A 19,910-nucleotide genomic window follows, 5' to 3' on the forward strand; every position below is an offset into this window, starting at 1 on the left:
TCCCGCCCTTGCGTTTTCATCTGTAAGTGGTCTCTTGGCTCCGCGACTGCAGCCTGCACCGCCTCGCCCACTCCTCTCGCGCGCAGCAAGCCCCGCCTCCTCCGTTACGAAAGAGCGCTTCTGGCCCCACTTGCTCTCGGCTCTATTGTCCCCGCCCTCCGCGTCTCCGGCCCCGCCCCTCCCAGGGGCCGCGTACGCATGTGCGCCGCAGTGGCTCGGCGGGCTGCGGGGCGGGACCTGCACGAAGGCCCGCCCACTGGCGCTGCCGGCTCCGCCCCGACTCGTCCGGGCGCGCAGGCGCCGCCCGCCCCGCTGGTCTGATTAGCATAGGACCCCGGGCCCCGCCCCCTGCTTTGCATGCGCACGGCCGGCCCCACCCCCGCTGTCAGCTGGAGGAAGCGGAGTAGGAAGCGGCCGCGATGTCCTTTTGTGTCCTACAAGCAGCCGGCGGCGCCGCCGAGTGAGGGGACGCGGCGCGGTGGGGCGGCGCGGCCCGAGGAGGCGGCGGAGGAGGGGCCGCCCGCGGCCCCCGGCTCACTCCGGCACTCCGGGCCGCTCGGCCCCCATGCCTGCCCGACCGCGCTGCCGGAGCCCCAGGTCCGGGGGCGGAGGGGAGCGCTGCCGCGGGGGTGGGCGGGCGGGGCGCGGGGGCCATGTGCGAGCGCGGCAGGGAGGCGGGCGGGGCGGGCTGCAGGCGGGGTCCGACTCTGGGGCCAGTCCGGGCCACGGTTGGGACCCAGTCGAGGGTCGGACTGGTCAGGGTTCAGGCGGGATCCGGCGTCCGAGTCCTGGTGGGCCGGCCTGGGGCAGGATCTGGCTCTGGCTGCGGGTCCTGACTCGGGTCAGGGTTGGGCCTCCGATCCAGCCCGCTCCGGGGCAGGGTTCAATCCCGCATTTGCCGAAGTCCCTGGGGCTGGCCGGGGTGGAAGACGGGGAGGGCTCTATGTCTGGGAAGGGGCTCTGAAGACCACGTGGGGGCGCTCGAAGGGGCCTGGGGCCACCCTCCTCTCTGGGTCAAAGGTCATCGCACCGGCAGGGGAGAACTTCCTCCTCCTTGGCTCTCCCCACTTACTTCCTGATAACCTGGTAGAGGTCTCCCGCGGGCGGGGAGGGGGAGGCGTAGCAACTTTAGGCAACTTCCCAAAGGTGTGCGCAGGTTGGGGGCGGGACGCGGCGCCCCGGGAGGTGGCGGCCTCTGCGACAGCGGGAGTATAAGAGTGGACCTGCAGGCTGGTCGCGAGGAGGTGGAGCGGCGCCCGCCGTGTGCCTGGGACCGGCATGCTGGGGCAGGAGGGCAGCCGCGTGTCAGGTGTGAAAAGCTCTGGAGGTGTTTTCATGAGTCCGTGCCTGTGCGTGTGGATGTGGGGAGACCTAGTGAGAGTGTGTGTGATCATGAGCCTTGACTGAGTTCGTGGATGGGGTGTGCGCTCCAGGAGAAGTGTGTGAGCACAAGTGTGAGCAGGAGTGAGCACGGGTTTGGGAAGGCCGGTGCAAGTGTGAAAGCCCTCAGCAGAGAGCGAGCCTGCGTGGGCTTGTGGGGCTCCTGAGCACCCCGGTGAGTGGAGTGTGTGAACTCGGTGTGAGCACGTCCACTGGCCTTGGGTCTGCTCTCCAATGCAGAATACCCAGATGAGGGCAGGGTCTCAGAGGTCCCCCCAACATCTGGAGAAAACTGGGAAGTATCCTGCTCCTGGCTAGGGATTCCAGGTGGGGTTGAAGGTTGCCTGGGGGCTACGGTTACCCTGCTCCCTGGCCTGGGTGGGAGTAGGGGCTTTCTAAGCCTCCCCCAGGTTCCCAAGGGGGAGACCTGCTGTCAGTTACTGGCCCTGAAGACTCTGTTTCCATGGCAACAGCTAGGAGGGGGCAGTGTTCCTGGGCAGTCCTTCCTTGGACTCTGCCCCCCTTCTTCCCCACTTGCTGGGCTTGGAAGCCTGGCCCTAGGCCCGAGGTTGGGCAACCCGTGTGGCAGGGTGTCTCCCATCCCCCATACCAGTGCTTTCCTGCGAACCTATGGGTCTCTCCGTGCAGGTGACCAGCGCCATGTCCAGCCAGGTGGTGGGCATTGAGCCTCTCTACATCAAGGCAGAGCCGGCCAGCCCTGACAGTCCAAAGGGTTCCTCGGAGACAGAGACCGAGCCTCCTGTGGCCCTGGCCCCTGGTCCAGCTCCCACTCGCTGCCTCCCAGGCCACAAGGAAGAGGAGGATGGGGAGGGGGCTGGGCCTGGCGAGCAGGGCGGTGGGAAGCTGGTGCTCAGCTCCCTGCCCAAGCGCCTCTGCCTGGTCTGTGGGGACGTGGCCTCCGGCTACCACTATGGTGTGGCATCCTGTGAGGCCTGCAAAGCCTTCTTCAAGAGGACCATCCAGGGTGAGCCCCCAGCCCACTCCCCTGTCCTTTGCCCTGCACCCTCTGGGTACACTGCTGGGTGCAATAGGCCCCCTGATGGCTGTGGCACCGCTTGAGGCTAACAATCTGGTGTTTCCAGTCCCTCTACCTCCCAGAGACACTCTTTCCCTGAGAAGTATGGTAAAAGCACCGGGTGTGCTGATGCATTGCAGTGGATGTGAGTGAGTTCAGGGTACCACCTGGGTACTCTAGGCCCAGCACCTTCTACAGTGGCTCTGAAAGAGTCCAAGGCAGCCTCTGTCTGTTCCTAAGCTTTGTTCTTGTTTCTGGCAGCTTCTGACCTCTCCCCAGCATAGAACATGTCCCCTTTTTGTTAATTTTCCCAAAGCAGCACCAACACAAGGCAGATTTTAATTTTTTTTTTTTTGAGACAGAGTCTCACTCTGTTGTTCAGGCTAGAGTGCAGTGGCACAATCTCTGCTCACTGCAACCTTTGCCCCTGGGTTCAAGAGATTCTCCTGCCTCAGCCTCCTGAGTAGCTGAGACTGCAGGTGTGCACCACCACGCCCAGCTAATTTTTGTATTTTTAGTAGAGACGACGTTTCACCATGTCGGCCAGGCTGGTCTGGAATTCCTGACCACAAATGATCCACCTGCCTCGGCCTCCCAAAACAAGGCAGATTTTTATCAGTACTTGAGAGGGGCTACATCATAGTTTAGCACCCAACTTTAAAAAGACTAACAGGCAAGGCCGGACACAGTTGCTCACACCTGTAATCCCAGCACTTTGGGAGGCCAAGGTGGGCGGATCACCTGAGGTCAGGAGATCGAGACCAGCCTGGCCAGGGTGGTGAAACCGCATCTCTACTAAAAATGCAAAAAATTAGCTGGGCATGGTGGCTCGCGCCTGTAATCTCAGCTACTTGCTACTTGAGAGGCTGAGGCAGGAGAATTGCTTGAACCCAGGAGGCAGAGGTTGCAGTGAGCCAAGATCACACCACTGTACTCCAGCCTGGGTGACAGAGCGAGATTCCATCTCAAAAAAAAAAAAAAAAGGCCGGGCACTGTGGCTCATGTAATCCCAGCACTTTGGGAGGCCGAGGCGGGCGGATCATGAGGTCAGGAGATTGAGAACATCCTGGCTAACACGGTGAAACACTGTCTCTACTAAAAATACAAAAAATTAGCTGGGCATGGTGGCGGGCGCCTGTAATCCCAGCTACTTGGGAGGCTGAGGCAGGAGAATGGCGTGAACCCAGGAGGCGGAGGTTGCAGTGAGCCAAGATCACGCCACTGCACTCCAGCCTGGGCGACAGAGTGAGACTCCGTCTCAAAAAAAAAAAAAAAAAGGCTGGGCGCGGTGGCTCATGCCTGTAATCCCAGCACTTTGGGAGGCCGAGACGGGCGGATCACCTGAGGTCAGGAGTTTGAGACCAGCCTGACCAATGTGATGAAACCCCGTCTCTACTGAAAATACAAAAATTAGCCAAGCATGGTGGCATGCGCCTGTCATCCCACTCAAGAGGCTGAGACAGGAGAATTGCTTGAACCTGGGAGGCAGAGGTTGCAATGAGCCCAGATCGCGCCATTGCACTCTAGCCTGCGCAACAAAAGTGAAACTCCACCTCAAAAAACAAAAACAAAAACAAAAACAAAAAAACCCAAAAACGCTGGGCTTGGTGGCTCATGGCCTGTAATCCCAGCACTTTGGGAGGCTGAGGCAGACGGATCACGAGGTCAGGAGTTCGAGACCAGCCTGGCCAACATGGTAAAACCCCGTCTCTACTAAAAATACAAAAATTAGCCGGGCGTGGTGGTGAGTGCCTGTAATCCCACTACTTGGGAGGCTGAGGCAGGAGAATTGCTTGAACCCGGGAGGCAGAGGTTGCAGTGAGCTGAGATCATGCCACAGCACTCTAGTCTGGGCAACAGAATGAGACACTCTCATCTCAAAAAAAAAAAAAAAAGGACTTACAGGCATGTCTGCTCTTAAAAGTCACTAATTTTTTTCTCACTCAGGAAAGCTTATCAGAATTTGGGGGAATGAGCAAGATGCTGACATTAAGCATTGCCTGGGAAGGGCCTATTATTTCCGTTATTTCTGCTTTTATGTAACCATTGGTTACTTTGGGGGCTATAACACGTATAATTAAAAAAAAAAAAAAAAAGGCCAAGTGTGGTGGCTCACACCTGTAATCTCAGCACTTTCGGAGGCTAAGATGGGAGGATCACAAGGTCAGGAGTTCGAGACCAGCCTGGCCAACATGGTGAAACCCTGTCTGTACTAGAAATACAAAAATTAGCCAGGTGTCGTGGTGGGTGCCTGTAGTCCCAGCTACTCAGGAGGCTGAGGCAGGAGAATTGCTGGAACCCAGGAGGCAGAGGTTGGAGTTAGCCAAGATCGTGCCACTGCACTCCCAGCCTGGGTGACAGAGTGAGAGTTCGTATCAAAAAAAAAAAAAAAAAAAAAATCTTGAGTGCTTACCTTGTGCTAGGCACTGTATTCTTTTATGATCTCAGTTAGTCCCCACAGCAACCCTATAAGGTGTCAGTACTGTTATAACTGAAACTAAGAGAGGCATTTGAAACTTTGTTGAAGTCTCACAACTAGGAAATGGCAGAACCAAGATTTGAACTTGGGTCAGTATAGGTCCAGAGCTGAGCTCTTCAATGTTAGACTGCTTCCTCTGCTTATTACTAATAACACCGAACTTTGGACAGACGCTGAATGACTGATTGTGACATTCCAGCACGTTTTTTTTTTTTTTTTTGAGACAGTCTCGTGTGGTCGCCCAGGCTGGAGTGCAGTGGCACGATCTCGGCTCACTGCAAGCTCCGCCTCCCGGGTTCACACCATTCTCCTGCCTCAGCCTCCTGAGTAGCTGGGACTACAGGTGCCCGCCACCACGCCTGGCTAATTTTTTGTACTTTTAGTAGAGACGGGGTTTCAGCGTGTTAGCCAAGATGGTCTTGATTTCCTGACCTCGAGATCCACCTGCCTTGGACTCCCAAAGTGCTGGGATTACAGGCGTGAGCCACTGCTCCTGGCCAGGTTTTTTTTTTTTTTTTTTTTTTTTTTGAGATGGAGTTTTGCTCTTGTTGTCCAGGCTGGAGTGCAACGGCCTGCAGTCGTGGTTCACTGCAACCTCTGCCTCCCGGGTTCAAGCCATTCACCTGCCTCAGCCTCCCAAGTAGCTGGGATTACAGGCGCCTGCCACCATGCCCGGCTAATTTTTGTGTTTTTAGTAGGGATGGGGTTTCACCATGTTGGCCAGGCTGGCCTCAAACTCCTGACCTCAGGCGATCTGCCCTCCTCGGGCTTCCAAAGTGCTGGGATTATAGGTGTGAGCCACTGCACCCCGCCAATCCAGCAAGTTTTAACTTGGCCAAAATCCACCAATCTTAAACTTTGTGCACCCTTCCCACTCTGAAGAACAGTGAGCCAGCCGGCCAGGGTGCGGGTATCTCCTACCTACCCTGGGGCCCCTCACTGTATGTTGACTATTGACAAATATTTATTGTGTGCTGGCTGTGAATAGGACTTGTATATTGAGCACTTAGGTGTCATGAACCATGCTGGATGTTTTGACCATATTATCCCCTTTAATTCTCACGACCCAACTCTGTGGGGCACTTTTACAGCTGGGAAACTGAGGGTTCAAGGGGTTAGGTATGGGACTTGCCCAAGGTCATAAAGGTATGTGGTAGCCAGAGTCCCTGTTCGGCACAGACCTGTTCTTTGCTGTCCTGGCCAGTGTTCCAGGCCTTGGGGACATAGCTGGGGCTGAAGCAGGGCTGTTTCTGCCCTCAGGCAGTTTACATCCTGGCAGAGGGGAGAGCTGGGCAACAGTGAGTTGCACAGACTTGTCTTATTACCGCTGTGGTATGTGCAGGAAGGGGAGGTGCTGGTTCTGAGGCTCCAGAGGGCTTGTCTTTTTTTTTTTTTTTTTGAGACGGAGTCTCGCTTTGTTGCCCAGGCTAGAGTCCAGTGGCGCGATCTCGGCTCAGTGCAAGCTCCGCCTCCCGGGTTCAAGCGATTCTCCTGCCTCAGCCTCCCCAATAGCTGGGATTACAGGCGCATGGCACCACGCACGGCTAATTTTGGTATTTTTAGTAGAGACTGGGTTTCACCATGTTAGCCAGGATGGTCTCGATCTCCTGACCTCGTGATCCACCCGCCTCGGCCTCCCAAAGTGCTGGGATTACGCTCCCGGCCTCTTTTTTTTTTTAGACAGAGTCTCACTCTGTTGCCAGGCTATAGTACAGTGGCACGATCTCAGCTTACTGCAACCTCCGCCTCCCAGGTTCAAGCGATTGTTCTCCCTCAGCCTCCCGAGTAGCTGGGACTACAGGCACACGCCCAGCTAATTTTTGTATTTTTAGTAGAGACAGGGTTTCACCGTGTTGGTCAGGCTGGTCTCAAACTCCTCACCTCGTGATCTGCCTGCCTCGGCCTCCCAAAGTGCTGGGATTATAGGCGTGAGCCACTGCGCCTGGCCTTTTTTTTTTTTTGGTACAGAGTTTCGCTCTGGTTGCCCAGGCTGGAGTGCAATGGCACGATCTTGGCTCACTGCAGCCTCTGCCTCCCGGGTTCAAGCGATTCTCCTGCCTCAGCCTCCGGAGCAGCTGGGATTACAGACATGCACCACCATGTCCGGCTAATTTTTTTTTTTCGAGATGGAGTCTCACTGTGTCACCCAGGCTGGAGTGCAGTGGCACAATCTCGGCTCACTGCAACCTCTGCCTCCCGGGTTCAAGCGATTCTCCTGCCTCAGCCTCCTGAGTAGCTGGGACTACAGGTGCCTGCCACCACACCCAGCTAATTTTTGTACTTTTAGTAGAGACGGGGTTTTACCATGTTGGCCAGGCTGGTCTTGAACTTCTGACCTCAGGTGATCCACCCACCTCGGTCTCCCAAAGTGCTGGGATTACAGGCGTGAGCCACCGTGCCCGGCCGTGGTGTCTTGAGCTGAGTGCAGAAGCGCAAATAGGGGGTAGGAGAAAATGCACCGCGAGGAGAAATGTGCTGCGGGCCTGCTGTCTAGCTGTGTCATTTGGTCGTTGCGGGGCCCTGTGAGGCCGGGAGGGCTGCCAGCACCCACCATGTGCCAGGCCTCGTTGCTAGTGCTGGGGCCAGTTCCTGCCCCGGTGGAGCTGCCACTGAAGGGGGAGGCGTAATAAACAAGATAGGTGAGTGCATATGCAGCGTGGTCTGTTGTGCTGAGGGCTGAAGAGAAACCAGAAGCAGGGCTCAGAGGCCAGGAGGACTCTGCAAAGGGATTTGGCATTATCACAGGGTGGCCAGGGAAGATCTTCAAGGTGACAGTGAGCAGAGGGAGGTGAGGGAGCCTGTGTGGACTTCAGGACTAGAGCTCCAGGCAGGGCCTGTTTGAGGAACATGGAGGAGGCGAGAGCAAGGAGTAGAGGTCAAAAGGAGGCAAGAAGCAGGGGCGTAGGCCTAGGAGGACATAGGTTCGCTTTGGCTTGGACTCAGAGAAGGGAAATCCCCAGAGGGTTTTGAGAAGAGGAGGTACAGGATGTAATGGAGGCTTAATAGGACCCTCTTGGCTGCTGAGTCGAGAACAGACTGGAGCAAGCAGGGACAGCCAAGCGAGGGGCGAGGTGACAGTGACTATCAGGTCAAGGGTGGAAGTAGTTGCCAGGGGCAGGAGGCGGATTCTGGACCTTGGAGGAGGTAAAGCCCACCAGAATGTGTCGGTGGCTTGGATGTGGGGTGTGAGAGGAACCAGAGATTCTGCCTAGGTTTCTTCTTGGGCAAGTGAACACGTGGAGTCCACGTAGGCTGTGTTCGGTCCGAGATGCCTTCTAGACATGCAGGATGTCAAGGAGGCAGCTGGAGAGATGGGTCTGGAGCTCACAGCAAGTCCAGGCTAGAGGTAGAAACGTGAGAGCCCCACGGCTGGGGAAGATTGCCATGGGATTGGAGATGAGCTCCAAGGACAGCCCTGGCAGTCTGGATGGAAGAGCTTGGGAAGATGCTCAGAAACCACAAAGTGGCTGGTGCGGTGGGAGGAAAACCAGAGTGTATGCTGTCCTAGAAGCAAAAGAAGAAAGTGTTTCAGTGTTTCTAGGAGCAGGAAGTGATCAACAGCCTTAGATCCTCCTTTTAGGCCAAGTAACATGAGGACTAAGAATTGACCACTGGATTTAGCAATGCAGAGGTCCTTGTGGCCCTTGATGTCGGCAGATGAGGGCAGTGTGGTCCAGAGATGAGGCTTGGGGCTGAGATGCAGCCCCGCTGCCTGGTCCAGCTCCTCCCTCATCCAGGCAGGGCTCCCCCGCCCAGCAGCCACTCCCCTCCCTGCCTGCTCATGGCCCCCTGCTCTCCCTTTCCTCCCCATACCCCCAGACCTGTGCTTGCCCGGGGAGAGTCAGGGCTCTCCTGTCAGCTGGGTCCCCTCCCAGCCCCGGGAGGCCGCCACTGGAGCCCTGCCTCTTCCTGGCAGGGAGCATCGAGTACAGCTGTCCGGCCTCCAACGAGTGTGAGATCACCAAGCGGAGACGCAAGGCCTGCCAGGCCTGCCGCTTCACCAAGTGCCTGCGGGTGGGCATGCTCAAGGAGGGTGAGCGCTGGGCAGGGGCTGGGCGAGGGCTGGGGGAGTCGGGGACCCGGGCCAGGTGGGGGTGAGGCCTGGGAGTTCTGGTGAGTGGACTCGGGGAGGACAGCTCTGGAGAGCAAGCCCCACCCTGCCCACAGCACCACAGTCACAGTCCTATCTGTCCCACAATTCAAGGAGTGCGCCTGGACCGCGTCCGGGGTGGGCGGCAGAAGTACAAGCGGCGGCCGGAGGTGGACCCACTGCCCTTCCCGGGCCCCTTCCCTGCTGGGCCCCTGGCAGTCGCTGGAGGCCCCCGGAAGACAGGTGAGAGCACTGTGGGTACCTGGGGCTACGAAACCGGAGGCCTATGTGTGGCATCATAGTTACCTTGGGCACTGGGACCTGTATTTCCCCTTCGTCTCTTCACTCACTCATTTCCCCAAGACATGTGAAACTGCCTTTTCCTGCATCAGGAAAAGTAGTAGAACTGGGAACAGGGACGATTTTCCAACACTCACAGCCTGTCCACAAACACACGGGCTTTCCCTGGGAGACAGTTAGCGCTCTTCCCTGGAGGGAAGTCACTGGACAGCTGCTACTGAGGAAGGCCACAGGGGGAGCCACTGTGGGAAGATGCTTGACCCCTGAGGCCTGACAGATTCGAGTGCTCCTGACTCTTGTCCTCTAATTGTCACAGCAGCCCCAGTGAATGCACTGGTGTCTCATCTGCTGGTGGTTGAGCCTGAGAAGCTCTATGCCATGCCTGACCCCGCAGGCCCTGATGGGCACCTCCCAGCCGTGGCTACCCTCTGTGACCTCTTTGACCGAGAGATTGTGGTCACCATCAGCTGGGCCAAGAGCATCCCAGGTAAAGGGCCCAGGTGACCCGGGGCTGCCCTGAACGGGCCCGGCTCTGGTGCGCTTGCTCAGCCAGGCCCGCTCCCCGCTGCCCCCTAGGCTTCTCATCGCTGTCGCTGTCTGACCAGATGTCAGTACTGCAGAGCGTGTGGATGGAGGTGCTGGTGCTGGGTGTGGCCCAGCGCTCACTGCCACTGCAGGATGAGCTGGCCTTCGCTGAGGACTTAGTCCTGGATGAAGAGGGGGCACGGGCAGCTGGCCTGGGGGAACTGGGGGCTGCCCTGCTGCAACTAGTGCGGCGGCTGCAGGCCCTGCGGCTGGAGCGAGAGGAGTATGTTCTACTAAAGGCCTTGGCCCTTGCCAATTCAGGTGAGTCTGGGGCAGGCACTGACAGGTGAGGTGTCTCCGTAAGGTCTTCAGGTTAACTCAGTGACGGTAGCACAGCCCCATTTTGCAGATAACGAAAACTGAGGCTTAGGGAAGAACAATGACTTGCTAGAAGTCAAAAAGCAAGCCAAGTGCAGGCTCCAAACTGCACACAGGATTTTGAGCCCTAGTGCCACACTAATGCAGAAAGGTCATTTAGTGGGAGGGAAGGTGGGGAGGGTACAAGGTGGCCACAGTTGAGGGAGAGAGGGTGGGGTCCTGGCCCACGAGCCGCAGCAATGAGTGGTGCCTCTCAGTCAGCCAATCAACAAATCCTCGTTTGGCTCTTCCTTAGGCCCCATCCAGCAGTGCTCAAGATACGGGGAGTGCCCTTGCCAGAGATAGCCCAGGCCAACACCACATTCCTCTCTTCTTGCAGACTCTGTGCACATCGAAGATGCCGAGGCTGTGGAGCAGCTGCGAGAAGCTCTGCACGAGGCCCTGCTGGAGTATGAAGCCGGCCGGGCTGGCCCCGGAGGGGGTGCTGAGCGGCGGCGGGCGGGCAGGCTGCTGCTCACGCTACCGCTCCTCCGCCAGACAGCGGGCAAAGTGCTGGCCCATTTCTATGGGGTGAAGCTGGAGGGCAAGGTGCCCATGCACAAGCTGTTCTTGGAGATGCTCGAGGCCATGATGGACTGAGGCAAGGGGTGGGACTGGTGGGGGTTCTGGCAGGACCTGCCTAGCATGGGGTCAGCCCCAAGGGCTGGGGCGGAGCTGGGGTCTGGGCAGTGCCACAGCCTGCTGGCAGGGCCAGGGCAATGCCATCAGCCCCTGGGAACAGGCCCCACGCCCTCTCCTCCCCCTCCTAGGGGGTGTCAGAAGCTGGGAACGTGTGTCCAGGCTCTGGGCACAGTGCTGCCCCTTGCAAGCCATAACGTGCCCCCAGAGTGTAGGGGGCCTTGCGGAAGCCATAGGGGGCTGCACGGGATGCGTGGGAGGCAGAAACCTATCTCAGGGAGGGAAGGGGATGGAGGCCAGAGTCTCCCAGTGGGTGATGCTTTTGCTGCTGCTTAATCCTACCCCCTCTTCAAAGCAGAGTGGGACTTGGAGAGCAAAGGCCCATGCCCCCTTCGCTCCTCCTCTCATCATTTGCATTGGGCATTAGTGTCCCCCCTTGAAGCAATAACTCCAAGCAGACTCCAGCCCCTGGACCCCTGGGGTGGCCAGGGCTTCCCCATCAGCTCCCAACGAGCCTCCTCAGGGGGTAGGAGAGCACTGCCTCTATGCCCTGCAGAGCAATAACACTATATTTATTTTTGGGTTTGGCCAGGGAGGCGCAGGGACATGGGGCAAGCCAGGGCCCAGAGCCCTTGGCTGTACAGAGACTCTATTTTAATGTATATTTGCTGCAAAGAGAAACCGCTTTTGGTTTTAAACCTTTAATGAGAAAAAAATATATAATACCGAGCTCAAAAACACTGTGTTTGGTGTCATTGGGTCAAGGGTTGGGGATACACACGGCAGAATTCGGAAACAGGGTATAGATCAACAAAAATACACAGTCATAACAAGAAAAACTGGCGCCTGGCACAATCAACTCTCAGTTTCCTCTTCACTCAGCAGCATGTTGGGGATCCCGCGGCTGATGGGGAACATACGTCCAGATTCCGGGCACTGCAGGGTGCCCTCTATCACTTCCACCTGCGGGCAGGGAGGGACAGAGCTGAGCACTGGCAGCCTCAGTGCGGGAGGCAGGTGGCCCGGGAAGCAAGTGATGGGCCGCTTCTCACCTCCAGCAGCAGGTGGTGCATGGTCCTCAGAAACTCCTCATTCTCCTCATATCCCTCAACCGGCCCTTTCGGCACCTGGATCAGACGCAACTGTGGGCAAGAGGCCAAAATTATCTCCGGGCATCCCGAACTCCCGCCTCAGCCCGGCTGAGGTGTGCCCGCCCCGCATTCCCCGGGATATGCTGGGGCGGGGTAAGGATCCTCACGTTATCGGCCGCCTCCAGGAACGCCGACCACTCCACTTTAGGTATCATACGCGCCACGAAGTTGGGGTTGAATTCCACAGGGCAGATACGGACCTCGGTGGCCTGCAGGGCGGAGGAGTTTAGGCAAGCACTGGACCCCGGCCCACCATCCCGCCCGAAAAGGGAAGACTGCCGCCGGCGGGTACCTGGAGGCGCAGGGGGAAGCCACGGGACCCCACCCCCCGCACATGCGAGCTCAGCAGATTGTGGGTAAGCAGTTTCATGTCGCCGCACAAACTCTCGCCAGGCCGGAACCGGAAAAAGGTCGTCCTCCGCTGCCTCACTTCCGGGGATGCTCCTCTCGATGCTATTGGATAGCCAGGAGAACCGGAAGTGGCGAACTTGCTGGAACTTCTCGTGTTTGTGGGAGCTGAGGTAGGTAGGTGAAAGACCTGTCGGGTCACGCGCCGCTACCGGAAGCGTCTCAGCAGGAGGTTCCTACGGCGCACGCCCAGCTTTTTTTTGCCACAAATTCTTCGTAAGATGCAAATCATATGCAAAATAGCTGCAATGCAGGAGCTCTCGTTGAATGCAAAATAAACACATTTTACTCCTACACAGGCGCCTAACACCGTCGTCCTCTGTATCCCACTTTCGGTTAAGGGGCAGAAATACCGCCCTATCTGTAAATTAGGCCCATGGAAGCCGAGCCGCACCTCATTCCTATATGCAAATTAGCTGCTCCAGTGCCGAAAGCTCCGCCCCATTTGTAGTTGCGTCGGCTGTCCAGCACCCAGTGCAAACGAGGCGTGGGTCCCGGAAGCTCTGTTCTGCGGGTGGCCGCTCGCGCCTGCGCAGTGGAGGCGGCCCAGGCCCGCCTTCCGCAGGGTGTCGCCGCTGTGCCGCTAGCGGTGCCCCGCCTGCTGCGGTGGCACCAGCCAGGAGGCGGAGTGGAAGTGGCCGTGGGGCGGGTATGGGACTAGCTGGCGTGTGCGCCCTGAGACGCTCAGCGGGCTATATACTCGTCGGTGGGGCCGGCGGTCAGTCTGCGGCAGCGGCAGCAAGACGGTACAGTGAAGGAGAGTGGGCGTCTGGCGGGGTCCGCAGTTTCAGCAGAGCCGCTGCAGCCATGGCCCCAATCAAGGTGACCGCTGGCCCGGCCGGGCCTGACATCCCCCACTACCCCCATGGCAATCCCCGTCCCGCTAGTCTGAGAGTATCGCTTTATTTCCTGCCTGCCAGACCCCTCCCCTCCGCCCGCCCGGCTCATCCCTTCAGAAGGCCCTCGTGGCTGCCCACCTTTCTCGCCAATCGTGGGGGCCTCACCTCCCGGGACAGTCCCGAGGCATTGTGTTTTTTGTTTTTTGTTTTTTTTTGAGACGGAGTCTTTCTGTGTCGCCCAGGCTGGAGTGCAGTGACGCAATCTCTGCTCACTGCAGCCTCCGCCTCCCGGGTTCAAGCGATTCTACTGCCTCAGCCTCCTGAGTAGCTGGGACTACAGATGCGAGCCACCACGCCCAGCTATTGTATTTTTAGTAGAGACGGGATTTCACCCCGTTGTTCAGATTGGTCTCGAACTCCTGACCTCAGGTGAACCCCCCCCGCCCCCCCCCGCCTCGGCTTCCCGAAGTGCTAGGATTACAGGTGTGAGACACCACTCCCGGCCTGATTTCCCCTATCTTCTGAAACAGCTGTCCCTTAGCGCCCCCGCGGGGGCTTACCCCATCCCACTCCATGACCTCCCCTCCCCCCATGGCGAATTCCCACCTTTCTGTCTTTCACTCACTTCCTGGAACCGTCCCCAGGGCCTTGGACCTTCCCCCTTCTCCTCCCAAACCTTGTGAGACCCCATTCCCTTTCTACTTCATCCTGCTCTCAACCTTTGGGCTCCTCAGAGGCCCTCACCTCTGACTCTCTCTCCCTACCCACTCTGGTCCCATGAAGCCCTCAAGTACTCTGGGGATGGATCCTTCCCCCTTCAAAAGATTCCTTCTTTTGTTCTACACCTCCTGGGTGTAGGGGCCTGGACACCCTCCCCCAACGTTCCACCTGCCGCTGCCCTTCCTCTTCCTCCTCCTGAGGGTGGGACCCTCAGACCTGGCCAAGATCCTCTCCCTCCATGTTGTCAGGGACTCCTCCTCACCCCCAAATACAGCCCTCTAGCCCCTGTCCATTTTATTCCACTCCTTTCCTGTAACCTAGACAGCATGTTATGCAACCCTTTGCGACACATGGGGAAACCTTCCCTCCCTTTCTCTGTTGTCACCAATGGCCCCTTAAGAGGAGCAGGGCCACCTTGAAACTTGGAGGATATGGGGTAACCCAGTGGGAGCGGGCAGGGAGGGCCCTTGGAAACTGACAGGGCTGGAGTATCCTGCTGGGTTTCAGCCCCGGTTCCTGCAGGCACAGCTGCCAGGCTCTCTGTTCACCTTCCTGCCTCTGGTTTGCCCCGGCTCCCTCACCCCCCTTACCCTGGAGTCCTTCCTTCTAGGTGGGAGATGCCATCCCAGCAGTGGAGGTGTTTGAAGGGGAGCCAGGGAACAAGGTGAACCTGGCAGAGCTGTTCAAGGGCAAGAAGGGTGTGCTGTTTGGAGTTCCTGGGGCCTTCACCCCTGGATGTTCCAAGGTGAGGCCCTTCCCCTTCTGAAGATCAGGACCTGGGATCTTTTGTGTTGCTCTTAAGTCCTCCACATAGTCCTGATAGGACTCCTAAAAAGCATTTCAGTGCCATCACAAAACAAGTAGAGCTGGGTAGAGCTGGGCGCGGTGGCTCACGCCTGTAATCCCAGCACTTTGGGAGGCCAAGGCGGGTGGATCACGAGGTCAGGAGTTCAAAACCAGTCTGGCCAAGATGGTGAAACCCTGTCTCTACTAAAAATGCAAAAAAATCAGCCGGACATGGTGGCGGGCGCCTGTAATCCCAGGTACTGGGGAGGCTGAGGCAGAGAATTGCTTGAACCCAGGAGGCGTAGGTTGCAGTGAGTGGAGATCGTGCCTCTGCAGTCCAGCCTGGGTGAAAGAGCGAGACTCCGTCTCAAAATGAAAAAAAAAAAAAAGAAAACAAGTAGAGACTGCAAAAAGGGAACAGTACCAGGAATGTTGGAGAAAAACATACTACAATTAAATCCAACACCCCTGTTGGTCCTGCTAAATGACAGGCACTGTGGAAGGTGCTTGGGACTCAGATAAATAAGACATAGATCTGCCCATGGAAAGTTCACGTCTGGACCATAAGGCATTAGGTTTCATTCTGAGCTTCCTAGTGGCCAAGGCAAAAAGGAAATAGAATGGTTTAGACAGCTCTCATTGTCTGATCAAAGGTGTTGAGGCAGAGCACTGAGGAGGGCCTGGAGATAAAGGGTGGGCTGGGGGTCAGATGCAGTTATCCCTTTGCCGACCCTTTGTTCCCCTTCCTCAGACACACCTGCCAGGGTTTGTGGAGCAGGCTGAGGCTCTGAAGGCCAAGGGAGTCCAGGTGGTGGCCTGTCTGAGTGTTAATGATGCCTTTGTGACTGGCGAGTGGGGCCGAGCCCACAAGGCGGAAGGCAAGGTGAGGTGAGGGGCCTGCAGGGAGTCAGGACCAGGTAGGATATTCTTCTTGTGACCTTTACTTTCTCTGCAGGTTCGGCTCCTGGCTGATCCCACTGGGGCCTTTGGGAAGGTGAGTGTTCCCCTGACCGCCACAGGGACATGGCAGTGCGGGGAGCAGTGGGGGCCCTTAGCCTCTTCAAGGATTTCTGACACTTTTCTCTGTCTCTTCTTAGGAGACAGACTTATTACTAGATGATTCGCTGGTGTCCATCTTTGGGAATCGACGTCTCAAGAGGTAAAAGTGGAGAGTCCTCTGTGGAGAGAGTCCTCTGTGGGAGAGAGTCCTCTGTGGGAGAGAGTCCTCTGTGGAGAGGGTCCTCTGTGGGAAGAGTCGTCTGTGGGGGAGAGTCCTCTGTGTGGGAGAGTCGTCTGTGGGGAGAGTCCTGTGTGGGGAGAGTCCTCTGTGGAGAGAGTCCTCTGTGGGGGAGAGTCCTGTGTGGGGGAGAGTCCTCTGTGGGGAGAGTCCTCTGTGTGGAGAGAGTCCTGTGTGGGAGAGAGTCCTGTGTGGGGAGAGTCTTCTGTAGGGGAGAGTCCTCTGGGGAGAGAGTCCTGTGTGGGGGAGAGTTCTCTGTGGGGAGAGTCCTCTGTGTGGAGAGAGTCCTGTGTGGTGGTGAGTCCTCTGTGGGGGAGAGTCCTCTGTGGGGGGAGTCCTCTCTGGAGTTCTCTTGGGCCCCTGGCTGTTCACTGCCTGTCTCCATGCCCAGCCTCCAAGCCCAGGCTGATGCAGCTGGCTGGGCCCCTCTTTCCGGCAGGTTCTCCATGGTGGTACAGGATGGCATAGTGAAGGCCCTGAATGTGGAACCAGATGGCACAGGCCTCACCTGCAGCCTGGCACCCAATATCATCTCACAGCTCTGAGGCCCTGGGCCAGATTACTTCCTCCACCCCTCCCTATCTCACCTGCCCAGCCCTGTGCTGGGGCCCTGCAATTGGAATGTTGGCCAGATTTCTGCAATAAACACTTGTGGTTTGCGGCCATCTCCTTGGTTATGAATGGCTGTTTCGCTGAGCGCCAGGCATTCTGGCATCATCACAGACTGGGTGAGAATGGTGAGGGCGCAGATGGGCTGAAAGGGAGAATGTAGGGGGTCCTGCTTAATTAAGGGGGAGCTAGGGAGGGCCTTTCAAGGGAAGTTTTTTTTTTTTTTTTTTTTTGAGACAGTTTCACTCTGTCCCCTAGGCTGGAGTGCAGTGGCATGATCTCGGCTCACCACAACCTCTGCCTCCCAGGTTCAAGCGATTTTCCTGCCTCAGACTCCCCAGTAGATGGGATTACAGGTGTCTGCCACCACGCCCGACTAAGTTTTTGTATTTTTGGTAGAGACGGGGTTTCACCATGTTGGCCAGGCTGGTCTCGAACTCCTGACCTCAGGTGATCACCCGCCTCCACCCCCCAAAGTGCTGGGATTACAGGTGTGAGCCACTGTGCCCAGCCTTGAGGCAGGTGTTACTGAGCACTGAGAAGGAGCCAGCAATCTGAAGAGGAAGGGAAGAAGCGCTCCCCACAGAGGCAGCACAGAGGGCGAGGCCTGGCCGATGGCATGTGGCGCACAGTGTGGCCTTTGTACCTGCTCTCTGGGTGCTGCCTGATGCCATTTAGTCTGGAAACCCCATGGCGGGAAGCTTGGCTCCCAGCATTCCTGCCGGGGCCCAGCCCCACCATCCTTTCAGACTTGACCCCCTCCTGGGCACACCCTCATCCCAGGAAGAGCTCAGGTCACTTTAGGACCATCTGATGGACAGGGAGAGGGGCTCTGGCACAGCACTTGCTCATTCCAGGAGGGCTCCCTGGGGGAAGAGTCTAGGTGAGCTGTGGAGGGGAGAAGATGCTGGTGAGGCCTGACCAGTGGTGGCTGGGTGTGAGGGGCCTCAAGTGGGGACACCAGCAGGGTGTGGGGATGGGGGCCATTGCCACGGCAGGCCCTGCTCCTGGGCCTCTGCCCCTTGGTGCAGGGAAGCCACGCCTGTGATGGTGAGGCCCCACTGCGTGGAGTCTAGGGGGCCTCTGTGCCCTGCGCGATGCTGCCTGCCTGCCCACCCCAGGTGTGGTAACAGCCCTCACAAGAATTGGTGAGGTGTGGACTGCTGCTGCCTCTCAGCCACCTACAGGGAGTCCGCATTCCATCACCGCGTGGAGCTGCCCTGCCATGAACCACATCAATACCTGGCTCCCAGGCACTTCCTGCGTAGTGGTCCCCAGGGGTCAGCCCCCACTGCTGACTCAGGCAGGCCACACTCTTGAGAGGTCAGGGAGAAGGTCAAAGCAGGGCCTCATAGAGCAAATGACCCTTGAGGCAGTGGGAGTGGCGCCTCAAGTGGGAGGCGGAGGGAGGCCCATAGCCCTAGGGGTGAGCCCCATAGCCCTAGGGGTGGAGGGTGGGACAATCCCATGCTGCCGCAGCAAGGTGGGTAGCAGGAGTAGGGGGGGAATGTTGGGGACAAGAGAGGATGCCTGGAGGTCAGTGGGCTCTCTGAAGCTGATGAGCAGCTTGCCTTCCACCCTACAGGCACCTTGGCCATGGGCTACCGTGTGCAGCCCCCAAGCTGGGAGGCTGGGAGAGGCACCAGATGGGCAGCAGGGAGCAGGACCCATGATGACAGCAATGCCCAGGAGGTGGAGGTGGAGATGTGTTGGGAGGGAGGGTGCATCCAGGGAGCTGCTTGCTGAAGGTGGAGGGGCTGGGTGCTTGTGGTCACGTCTGTGAGAACAGACACTCAGTAGGAGGGGAGCCAGCCTCCCTGCCCAGGGTTGCAGGTGCTCAGCCTACCCGAGTCGTGCTGCCCACCAACCTCTGTCACTGTGGTTCTCTCCCACAACCTGCCACCCCTTCAGGGGTCCCAGGTGGGGGCAGGGAAGGAGGCTGACTGCACCTCGAGCTGCCCTGGTAAACTGCCTGCCTCTCCTCTCCTGCCAAACTCGGGGGTACAGTGTTGTCCTCATGGACACGCATAACACAAAGCCCCTTTCTTTCCCGGATACCACCTCTTTATCCTCTCATCATACAAATGAGAAAACAGACGTGGAGCTTCCTACAGGGCACCTGTGAGCTAATGAGTGTCTCCATTAGTAAATAGGGGGTGGTGGTAGCAAATAGCCCACCCCACTGGCTGTGCACCCCACGCTACCCAGGCAGCTCCCTGCTATCGGGGAAGCCCAGCTCCGTCTCTGTCACTCTGCTGCCTGTTTCCTCTGCTCCTGGGCTATTATCTGGGCTGGCTGAGGCCAAGCAAGGCCTCTAGAGGAAGTGTCCCCTCCAAGGTCTGTTGCCACTGGCTGGGCCTCTAGGAAGGGTTGAGAGGGCTTCCAGGGCTGGGGTGGCCCTCTAGGACAGCCTGGTGTGGGTGGCGGTGGGGCTGTGGCCTCAGTGGCCCTGACTGCTGAGCATGTGGCTGAGCTTGCTGGAGTGAGGACGTCCTTGGGTGGGGGCACGGAGGACTGGCCCTGGAAGCTGCTCCAGGCCCTGGAGGGCCCAAGATTAAACAGCACCTGGCAAGAGAACCTTGCATAGCTGTCTCCAGGTTGGACAGGTGGGGCTTCAGGCCTGGAGATAAGGGCAGACCAGGCCACGGTGTCCTGGACCAGAGAGCCCTGGACATCTGGGCTGCACCTGGCAGAGCTGTGCGTGTGGCCTTCCTGGGCTCTTGGTGGCCGAAAGACCAATGTTAAAAAACATAACAGGCCAGGCGGGGTGGCTTACACCTGTAATCCCAGCACCGTGGGAGGCCAAGGCGGGTGGATCATTTTAGGTCAGGAGTTTGAGACTAGCCTGGCCAACATGGAGAAATCCCATATCTACTAAAAATACAAAAATTACTTGGGCATGGTGGCGCATGTCTGTAATCCCGGCTACTGGGGAGGGAGGCTGAGGCAGGAGAATTGCTTGAACCTGGGAGGTGGAGGTTGCAGTGAGCCGAGATCGTGCCACTGCATGCCAGCCTGGGAGACAGAGCAGGAGTCTGTCTCAAAAAAAAAAAAAAAAAAAAAAAAAAGAAAAGAAGCTGAAACATCCACCCAACAACACATGCCCCAGTGAAACTCACTTGCCTGTCCTAGCATGCCCAAGGCCATAGCAACTGAGACCAGAAGGCCAAGGGTGTTACTCAGCATCAGTGGTTCTGGGCCTTCCTGGGTCTAGAGTCCCTTTGAAACGCAGCTGAACAGACCCCAACATGAGCCTGAAGAGTGTTGACCTAAAAGGAAGAAGCCTAGGCAAAA

At 57.8% G+C, this 19,910-nt stretch overlaps 3 protein-coding genes across 18 annotated transcripts, besides 5 other annotated features; 2 read left to right on the forward strand and 1 right to left on the reverse strand.

Moving 5' to 3' along the window:
• Positions 92-601: a silencer, noted in NCBI's record as "silent region_3476". NCBI's record gives its function as "represses an Ori minimal core promoter by ATAC-STARR-seq in GM12878 lymphoblastoid cells {active_cell/tissue: GM12878}" and the evidence as "EXISTENCE:reporter gene assay evidence [ECO:0000049][PMID:35858748]".
• On the forward strand, positions 385-11,604 carry ESRRA (estrogen related receptor alpha). 6 transcript variants are annotated; one of them, NM_004451.5, is made up of 7 exons: positions 385-597; positions 2,029-2,365; positions 8,812-8,928; positions 9,100-9,228; positions 9,602-9,772; positions 9,862-10,131; positions 10,568-11,604. In NM_004451.5, the coding sequence occupies exons 2-7, from the start codon at positions 2,041-2,043 to the stop codon at positions 10,825-10,827; spliced, it is 1,272 nt and encodes a 423-aa protein (NP_004442.3). In that variant the 5' UTR covers positions 385-597; positions 2,029-2,040; the 3' UTR covers positions 10,828-11,604. The 6 variants fall into 6 exon arrangements, with proteins under 6 accessions (NP_004442.3, NP_001269380.1, NP_001269379.1 ...); NM_001282451.2 differs by having other exon boundaries at positions 9,605-9,772; NM_001282450.2 differs by lacking the exon at positions 385-597 and adding an exon at positions 739-1,309.
• Positions 1,012-1,081: an enhancer, noted in NCBI's record as "active region_4897". NCBI's record gives its function as "activates an Ori minimal core promoter by ATAC-STARR-seq in GM12878 lymphoblastoid cells {active_cell/tissue: GM12878}" and the evidence as "EXISTENCE:reporter gene assay evidence [ECO:0000049][PMID:35858748]".
• Positions 10,924-11,439: an enhancer, noted in NCBI's record as "H3K4me1 hESC enhancer chr11:64083535-64084050 (GRCh37/hg19 assembly coordinates)". NCBI's record gives its function as "activates a minimal SCP1, AML or CMV promoter by ChIP-STARR-seq in primed H9 embryonic stem cells {active_cell/tissue: H9 hESC(primed)}" and the evidence as "EXISTENCE:reporter gene assay evidence [ECO:0000049][PMID:30033119]".
• Positions 11,321-13,457, reverse strand: TRMT112 (tRNA methyltransferase activator subunit 11-2). 7 transcript variants are annotated; one of them, NM_001372071.1, is made up of 5 exons: positions 13,403-13,457; positions 12,310-12,533; positions 12,125-12,226; positions 11,919-12,008; positions 11,321-11,829 (listed from the first exon to the last, which is right to left on the reverse strand). In NM_001372071.1, exons 2-5 carry the CDS (start codon positions 12,385-12,387, stop codon positions 11,722-11,724), a joined length of 378 nt encoding a protein of 125 aa, NP_001359000.1. In that variant the 5' UTR covers positions 12,388-12,533; positions 13,403-13,457; the 3' UTR covers positions 11,321-11,721. The 7 variants fall into 7 exon arrangements, with proteins under 7 accessions (NP_001359000.1, XP_047283075.1, NP_001359001.1 ...); XM_047427119.1 differs by having other exon boundaries at positions 12,310-12,668; NM_001372072.1 differs by lacking the exon at positions 13,403-13,457 and adding an exon at positions 12,820-12,851.
• Positions 12,597-12,796: an enhancer, noted in NCBI's record as "active region_4898". NCBI's record gives its function as "activates an Ori minimal core promoter by ATAC-STARR-seq in GM12878 lymphoblastoid cells {active_cell/tissue: GM12878}" and the evidence as "EXISTENCE:reporter gene assay evidence [ECO:0000049][PMID:35858748]".
• Positions 12,887-13,046: a silencer, noted in NCBI's record as "silent region_3477". NCBI's record gives its function as "represses an Ori minimal core promoter by ATAC-STARR-seq in GM12878 lymphoblastoid cells {active_cell/tissue: GM12878}" and the evidence as "EXISTENCE:reporter gene assay evidence [ECO:0000049][PMID:35858748]".
• On the forward strand, positions 12,982-16,672 carry PRDX5 (peroxiredoxin 5). 5 transcript variants are annotated; one of them, NM_012094.5, is made up of 6 exons: positions 12,982-13,247; positions 14,595-14,729; positions 15,522-15,653; positions 15,726-15,764; positions 15,868-15,929; positions 16,447-16,672. In NM_012094.5, exons 1-6 carry the CDS (start codon positions 13,077-13,079, stop codon positions 16,550-16,552), a joined length of 645 nt encoding a protein of 214 aa, NP_036226.2. In that variant the 5' UTR covers positions 12,982-13,076; the 3' UTR covers positions 16,553-16,672. The 5 variants fall into 5 exon arrangements, with proteins under 5 accessions (NP_036226.2, NP_857634.2, NP_001345440.2 ...); NM_001358516.2 differs by having other exon boundaries at positions 13,147-13,247; NM_181651.3 differs by lacking the exon at positions 15,522-15,653.
• The last annotated feature ends 3,238 nt before the right edge of the window (positions 16,673-19,910 follow it).

The sequence above is a fragment of the Homo sapiens genome, chromosome 11 (genome assembly GCF_000001405.40).
Source record: "Homo sapiens chromosome 11, GRCh38.p14 Primary Assembly".
In the NCBI taxonomy this organism is placed as follows: domain Eukaryota; kingdom Metazoa; phylum Chordata; class Mammalia; order Primates; family Hominidae; genus Homo; species Homo sapiens.

Bases quoted from the DNA above. Each gene is read 5' to 3' on its own strand.
- ESRRA (XM_017017313.2), top strand. From the start codon at position 2,011: ATGGGTCTCTCCGTGCAGGTGACCAGCGCCATGTCCAGCCAGGTGGTG. The intron at 8,929-9,099 runs GTGAGCGCTGGG...CCACAATTCAAG, and splicing joins GGTGGGCATGCTCAAGGAGG to GAGTGCGCCTGGACCGCGTC. The intron at 9,773-9,861 runs GTAAAGGGCCCA...GCTGCCCCCTAG, and splicing joins CTGGGCCAAGAGCATCCCAG to GCTTCTCATCGCTGTCGCTG.
- TRMT112 (NM_001372071.1), bottom strand. From the start codon at position 12,387: ATGAAACTGCTTACCCACAATCTGCTGAGCTCGCATGTGCGGGGGGTG. The intron at 12,227-12,309 runs GTACCCGCCGGC...TCCGCCCTGCAG, and splicing joins GCTTCCCCCTGCGCCTCCAG to GCCACCGAGGTCCGTATCTG. The intron at 12,009-12,124 runs GTGAGGATCCTT...TCTTGCCCACAG, and splicing joins TCCTGGAGGCGGCCGATAAC to TTGCGTCTGATCCAGGTGCC.
- PRDX5 (NM_012094.5), top strand. From the start codon at position 13,077: ATGGGACTAGCTGGCGTGTGCGCCCTGAGACGCTCAGCGGGCTATATA. The intron at 13,248-14,594 runs GTGACCGCTGGC...CCTTCCTTCTAG, and splicing joins CAGCCATGGCCCCAATCAAG to GTGGGAGATGCCATCCCAGC. The intron at 15,654-15,725 runs GTGAGGTGAGGG...CTTTCTCTGCAG, and splicing joins CCCACAAGGCGGAAGGCAAG to GTTCGGCTCCTGGCTGATCC.